This window comes from Homo sapiens, chromosome X (assembly GCF_000001405.40).
Source record: "Homo sapiens chromosome X, GRCh38.p14 Primary Assembly".
Taxonomy (NCBI): Eukaryota; Metazoa; Chordata; class Mammalia; order Primates; family Hominidae; genus Homo; species Homo sapiens.
This window is the reverse complement of record NC_000023.11, coordinates 137,546,916-137,554,468: the sequence shown is the minus strand read 5'-3', so window position 1 is coordinate 137,554,468 and position 7,553 is coordinate 137,546,916. Positions and strand designations below refer to the sequence as shown.

Below are 7,553 nucleotides of genomic sequence, written 5' to 3'. Positions count from 1 at the left end.
TCTCAAACTCCTGGGCTCAAGCGATCCACCCACCTCAGCCTCCCAAAATGCTAGGATTACAAGCGTGAGCCACTGTGCCTGGCCCTAGAGCTTCTTTCTTTTTATTCACACATGCCTCTCTTGGTTATGCCTTTTCCTACTCAGATGTGTTACTGGGGTTTGCTGGAACAAATACCCAAATGGAACTATTATAAAAAGAGTCCGCTGGGTGTGGTGGCTCATGCCTATAATCCCAGCACTTTGAGAGGCTGAGGTGGGTGGATCACTTTAGGCCAGGAGTTCAAGACCAGCCTGGCCAACATGATGAAACCCCATCTCTACTAAAACAATACAAAATTAGCCCAGGTGTGGTGGCTCACACCTGTAATCTCAGCACTTTGGGAGGTCGAGGTGGGTGGATCACCTGAGGTCAGGAGTTCGAGACTAGCCTGACCAACATAGTGAAACCCCATCTCTACTAAAAATACAAAATTAGCTGGGCGTGGTGGCACAAGCCTGTAATCCCAGCTACTTGGGAGGCTGAGGTAGGAGAATCGCTTGAACCTGGGAGGTGGAGGTTGCAGTGAGTGAAGATCGCACTATTGCACTCCAGCCTGGGCAATAAAAGCGAAACTCCATCTCAAAAAAAAACAGCAAAACAAAAAACAACAACAACAAAAATTAGTCGGGTATGGTGGCACATGCCTGTAATCCCAGCTACTCGGGAGGCTGAGGCACAAGAATCTCTTGAACCCAGGAGGTGAAGGTTGCAGTGAGCCATGATTGTGCCACCACTGCACTCCAGCCAGGGCAACAGAGCGAGACTCTGTCTCAAAAAAAAAAAAAAAAAAAAAAAAGTCCATGTTTTCATGAGGAAAAAAGAAATAAACTGGAATCATTATCTTGGGGAGTGCCTTCTTTTATATTCTATTTGTGTCCTTTCCTGCTGCAACATATAGTCTTTAAGATCAGAAAGTCCATTTAATATTCCTTATATTCCTCATTAAAACAGACTTTAAAATTACATGGTAAAAATTTGAGGCTCATTATTATTATTTTTAACTTCACAATTCCATAACTCCCCCACAACACACACACACACACACACACACACACACACACACACACACACACACACACACAGAAGGCTAGCTATGGAAAAGCACTCTGTAGCTCAGTGCCGTATACGAGCTTTACTTCTTGAGCTATGGTTTCATTCTGTGGCCATGGTGGGTTTAAGTCATTATTCTGAATGTAATGTTCAAATGAATTGGGAGGCAAACTGCTCTGGGAGTTGGCTTGGCATTACTTTGCCATCACACATGTCACTTAATTTTTGCTGATTGCTTTTATAATATATGTGTACATCACAAATAATGTAAAGAAAAAGGTCCCTCCAAGGATAATACAATGGAGAGCCTATATTGTGCATATGCCCTGTAATATTGACTTTTGTGATTCATAGAAACTACATATTAAATGAATTATTTTGATTATTATCAAGTGATCTTTGCAGTTGTTTTAAAAGGTCCATCCAGTTATAATCATGTGCTGCTTATGTGTGCTATTGCTATTACATGGGGAGGGTGTATATGATTTAAAATGGAGTCTGGCTGAGCATGGTGGCTCACGCCTGTAATCCCAGCACTTTGGAAGGCCAAGGCGTGCAGATCACTTGTGGTCAGGAGTTCGAGACAAGCCTGGCCAACAAGGTGAAACCCTGCCTCTACCAAAAATATATAAAAAATTAGCTGTGTATGGTGGTGTGCTCCTGAAATGCCAGCTACTCGGGAGGCTGAGGCAGGAGAATTGCTTGAAACCAGGAGACAGAGGTTGCAGTGAGCCGAAATCATGCCACTGCACTCCAGCCTGGGCGACAGAGTGAGGCTCCATCTCAAAAATGAAAATAAAAATAAAAAATAAAGTAAAATGGAATCTGTTCACTTGAAGTCAGGAGTTCAAGACCAGCCTGGACAAAATGATGCAACTCCATCTCACCTAAAAATACAAAAATTAGCCAGATGTAGTGGCACACACTTGTAATCCCAGCTACTTTGGTGGCTGAAGCAGGAGAACTGCTTGAACCTGGGAGGCAGAGGTTGCAGTGAGCTGAGATCTCACCACTGCACTCCAGCCTGGGCAATAAAGAGAGTCCCTGTCTCCAAAACACTAAATAAATAAATAAATAAATAAATAAATAAATAAATAAAATGGAGTCCATTACCCTGAGGAGCATAATTTCAAACATTTACACAAATCTCAATGTTTAAACAAAAATGTTAAAAAAAAATTAGGTCAGGCATGGTGGCTCACGCCTATAATCCCAGGACTTTGGGAGGCCGAGGCAGGCAGATCACGAGGTCAGGAGTTCGAGACCAGCCTGGCCAACATGGTGAAACCCCATGTCAACTAAAAATACAAAAAAATTAGCTGGGCATGGTGGCGCATGCCTCTAATCCCAGCTACTTGGGAGGCTGAGGCAGGAGAATCGCTTGAACCCGGGAGGCAGAGGTTGCAGTGAGCGCAGATCGCACCACTGCACTCCAGGCTGGGCGACAGTGTGAGACTCCGTCTCGAAAAAAAAAAAAATTTTGGTGGGAGAAGCAACATTGCAGACCTCTTCAGTTAGTCAAACAGGCCATAGAGGCATCCCACGGCTCAACCTGCTTTCTGTTTCATTGCCTTGAAAGGAAAGACATCTGGAGAAAATTTTCCTCTGAGCAAAAAGTGGAAAGGAGGCACCCCAGCCACATGGTGGTTGTCCCCATCTCCCTCCCTACTCTCCCCACCCCCTGCCCCAAACACACTAGGCAAAAAACCTTGACTCAGTCTCTTCCATTCCCAGTTTTAGTAGAAGAAATACATTTGGACAGGAGAGAAAGCCTTATGTCCAGTCCATGAATTTACTGGGTTGTGTTCTGTGGTTCATTTAGGAGGTCACATCTGCATCTCTTATCTACACCTCCACTCCACCTTCTCACCAGACTGCAGGTTTGTATTGTCTTCAGATCTCACCAGCAGAATTAACAAAACAATGCCCTCTGATTTTAAGGCCACAGACTGCCTACCATCACTACCTACCGGCCTGAGCAGTAAATATTGTTGAGAGAGTACTGCATGAGCTGACTCTATGCCAGGCTCAAGCGCTGGGTTAAGGCTGAGGCCGGGTCTTTGGGGTGTGTGGAGCAGAGAGGGTGGTTGTTGGTAGAACCGAAATCTGCAGAGGTTTCCATGAAGTAATCGTGTAGTAAGTACGAGTGAGAGTGTGGGGTGTGTGTGTGTAAGAACAGGCTTAGGTCCACAACACATTCCCCCATTAGCTCAACTCTCGTCTTTCTTGAGGCGCCACTTTTGACAGCGCCTGCGGCGCCCGCGCTTTCGGCGAGCGGATGCTTGCGTAGTCTCTTCTTCCTGTGGGTCAGGAATCAGAGAATCCGCTACTTTGGGATCCAAAGAGGGCTAAGTAGCTGGAAATCGGAGCCCGAAAGCCGAGGAGACGGCCAGAACCGCAGGGCTCATCCTGGTGCCTATCGCTCCCCACCACCCTGGCGACCAGAGAGGGCTTGGAAAGGTGGTGCGGGTTAGGGGGGCGGGGGGACACCGGCTGCTGGCTGGAGCTCGTGGGGAGGGGATTGGAGGTTGGCGCCATGCCCGAGCTACTCGCACTGCCTTGGTCCCATTCGGTTCCCCGGGGGAGAACCTCCTCCCCTTCCTTTCCTCCTCGTCCCCTCCTTCTCCGCCTCCGTGGGGCGCTCGGGTCCCGCCGCTTTCCGAAGCCCCAACGCCTCAGTCTGCCTATCCTGGCCGCGAGGGCACAGGAGCCTGCGAGCTGGGCTCTGGGGCCAGCCAACCTTCTCGTTTTTCCAAAAGGAAACGAAAGGGCGCAGCGCCTCGCCTTCCTCGCCTGCCACCGCTCGAGAGGGACTGTTTAATTAAAGGAAAACCCGCAATGTATACGACAGTTAAAAGCAACGCGCAGAATAAACTAATTAAAACATTGTGTTTGCAACACATTTTATTTCTCTCTCTCCTTTTTTTGATCTTCGCTGTGTTTTAAAGAAATGTCATCGCACCATAAAGCAAGCCGTGAAACGCTATTTCCTTATAGTGTGCGGCGCTTTTCAAAGGCTAGTGTGATATATTTTAGAAAAGGGCTCCTGCTGTGAAAGCTTGCGTGTCTTCCCTTTACCAAACTAAGCTCTTGTCAATCACGCCGAGCTCGGTCCAATCACCGAGATCCTTTTTGGAAAGCAGCTCATCCCGCTGTGCTTTTATACCGCGCTCCGCAGCCTATTTTGATGCATTTTTACCAGCACGTCCAGGGGAATGAATGATGAGGCCGCGGACACTGCTGGCCTGGCTCCCCGAGCGCCCGCCCGGCCCTAACGAGGCGCCGGCGCATTGTGAGCGGCCCAGACTTTCTCACGTGGCGGTCACTTAGCGGGGTTACCCCGACGTCAACGAGGGTCACTGCTGGTGATCCGGCTTATCAAGGCCGCGCGATCTCCTCTTCCTGGCCTCTAGGGCCTGGATCCGCGAGGCTCAATAGCCGCCCTCTTGGCCCGCCCGCCGGGAAAGGCAAGACCAGGTGCAACCTGACGCTGCACCTCAACCACCAGGAGCCGAGGATCATCTTTAAGATGCACCTCCTCTCCAGAGCTATGGCGGGGAGGAGTTAGGGCCGGTGACTCCTATGTAAGAGGTGTCTCTGTCTTGCCTAGACCTGGCTTAGGTTAGGGCTTGGTTTTGAACAAGCAGTGGGTCTCTTCTCTCTTCTCTCTCCCTGCCCATAGTTTCGAGGGACTTCCCCACCCTTCCGAGAGAGGCCGTCCCCACCCCGGAGGGGCCACTAAATGACATGGGCCTTGGCAGAGCTCAGAGCCCTGAACCAGAGGCTCAGCTAGAGACGCCCACAGGCAGGAAGGAACCGGTGCCCCCAGGCCAGGCCAACCATTCATTTCCCCAGTTGGGACGATTACTGGCCTAATGGACCTCGGAGCCTTAGGGCAGGCGCGGGTGGCACTGAATGGCCAAATACAAACTTGGTTCTCCCGGCGGTGAACCCACGGGAGAAAGGGCCCTATAACCCGCGCCTTCCTCTGATTCAAGGAAAAATTGGCAGGAGCCTCCAGACCTAGATTTCTGCAGATTCCCCACCTCCCCGACAGGGCTGAGGGCGCGCCCCGCCGGGGCGATGTGGAAGCTTTTGATCGTCACATTGGCTTCCCGGCTCCCGGAGGAGAGACGAGGGAGGAGGCTTTGTGGTCCGTCTTTCAGGCCGCGCTGGAATCGTTGCCTGCTTTTGTTTCCCGTTCCACTTCGAACTTGAACCAGGAGAGTGCAAACCGCTACGGTCTGCAGGGGATGAACAAGTGAAAGCTGTGTGAGATTTATTCGTTTGCATAATAAGCCAAACTCTGCATTTTGAAATTGTCGTCCAGTGCGACTTACACGTCCATTCAGCTTCTTGGTCTCATGTGTCTCTCTGTCTCTTTCTCATGCACACTAATACAAGCACCCCTTGGCCTCCAATTACACAAGCCTTCCGAGCACATGTACGATTTCCACGGGACAAGGACCACTAACCCTTCCCTGCCCTCCCACTCCATCCCCAGCGCCCAGGCGCACCTTTATCTCTGACCTGCCAGTTTCTTTCTCTAGCATTCCCCAAAGGACTTACCATTTGTTGACAGGGGTGGGTCCTTATGGGAGCCGAAGGCGAGGGGAGTGCTCAGCTCTCCGAATTTTTGCTAGCCCCCGCCTACCCTCAGGCTCGCTCTCGCTCTCTCTTCCCCACCCCACACCCCTCGGAAATTGCTGCCCATCCCGATTCATTCCCAAAAGGTGGCTTCCGTAATGACTACATCTTTAGGCTAGCCCTATAGGGAGGAGAAGAAACCTTAGCTCCGCTTACAGCCCAGCTTCCGGGTCCAGGTTCACACCGTAGTTGGGTCATGGACTAGCTGCAATCCCCACCCCAGCCCTGCCAGGTGTTCTTCTGTTCCCAGGGGCTCCCCTCTTCTTCTCCCTGTGGCCTTGTTCCGTGGAGAGCAGGCCCTGCCGGTTAGTAGCTTTTTTACAGTCTCCTCAGCACACCCCTGCGCACAGGACCACCGGGTGGAAGAGAGGCGCACCCCAATCCCAGTAAGGAGAAAACTTGCTCCTGCCTGGTGCACCCGAGACTCGCCGGTATCTCCGGGGAAGGCTGAGGAGCCTGCCGAAAAGCCTGCCTCTGGCTGTGTGGCTCTTTGTAGTTTTATGAGACAAAGGGTGGGTTTTTGCAATAGCCTTTGGCGAAATCTGCGGGTAGGGAAGTGGTCCCAGAGCTAGGAGTTCCAGAGCAAGCGACGGGGGCCGCAGGAGCTTGTGCGCCAGCGGATGCCGGCGCGAGGGGTTTCATTTGTCTCAGTGTTGCAAGTTTACAGGTGCTGAGACTTTGCTGTAACACTCGGACCACGCCGGTGTCTGTCTCTGAGCTACAGATCACTCGGTAATTTCTCAAATGCTGGGTGCAATGGGGATCGGCGTGAATTCGTTTTATATATTTATGTAAAAAATAAATTTCTGAAAACAATCAGTTATTTTAACGTGGGGAATTATTTGTTGTCTCCAGCGAATACGTTATTACCCTTCTTATATATTGCTTAGCGGCTCCGTAGGATGGGGTGAGAGCGTTGAAGTTTCTATTTCCAGGCGTAAACCAGTTCAAGTGTGAACTCGACGGCTGTAGTAGTCGGTTTGCCAACAGTTGTGACTGGGAGATGAGCACTCACGCGCATATGGGCGACCAGCTCCAGGCCTCTGGGAAGCCTGTGGCTACCCGAACACAGGCGGAAGAGCAGAAAGAAACGCCAGCGCCAGGTCTGACCCCCGAGCAGCCTCTGCCGCGGGTCAGGTGTGAGATCCTAGCACGTGCCCTTCCTGGGCTTTCTCCACGGCTTGGGTACTCGACCCGTCCTTGCTGAGAGTTCCAGGGCCAAGCCAGAAAGCCTAGACCAAATCCAGGACTGTGCCGGAGAGGCCGCCATTAGCATATTTCTCCGGCAGCCGCGCTCTCCCCGGCTCGCCGCAGAGCCCGCCTGCGCCACCGCGGTCCGGGAGCCGGCTGCTCTTAGGCCCAACCCAGAGGAGCGGCTGGCAATTATGGCCGAGGCCAGGGAGCTCGGAAGGTGTATGCTGTCTACCTGAGGGAAGAGACAGCGTCACACATCATTCAAATCGGAATCTGGAGCTGGCTTCCAGTCTCACCTAGGCTCCTACAAGTTGGTTCTGCACATTCTGTACGTTCTGTACATTCTTCACAGTAACTGGTCTCCTGCCGTAGACTTGGACTCACCCTACTTTTATTGGGAAATGCATGGAGTCCTGCTTGTCCTCTTTACCCCCATTCCACAGGTTTGTCTGAAAACTTCTTTTGAGCCCATCTGTTCCTCTAAACGGACTTTCTCTCCTACCACCTCCTCTGTCCCCAGAGCCTTGCCCATGCAGTAAGTTGTCCCCAGCAGCAGTTGGAAGTTGCTGGGGTCCTGGCAGTGCAGCCTCCCCACCTACCCCACCTCTAGTCCGTAAAGCCC

The 7,553-nt window shown here is 51.3% G+C and overlaps 1 annotated feature.

The window, feature by feature from the left end:
* Positions 4,735 to 5,543: an enhancer, noted in NCBI's record as "NANOG-H3K4me1 hESC enhancer chrX:136631085-136631893 (GRCh37/hg19 assembly coordinates)". NCBI's record gives its function as "activates a minimal SCP1, AML or CMV promoter by ChIP-STARR-seq in naive H9 embryonic stem cells {active_cell/tissue: H9 hESC(naive)}" and the evidence as "EXISTENCE:reporter gene assay evidence [ECO:0000049][PMID:30033119]".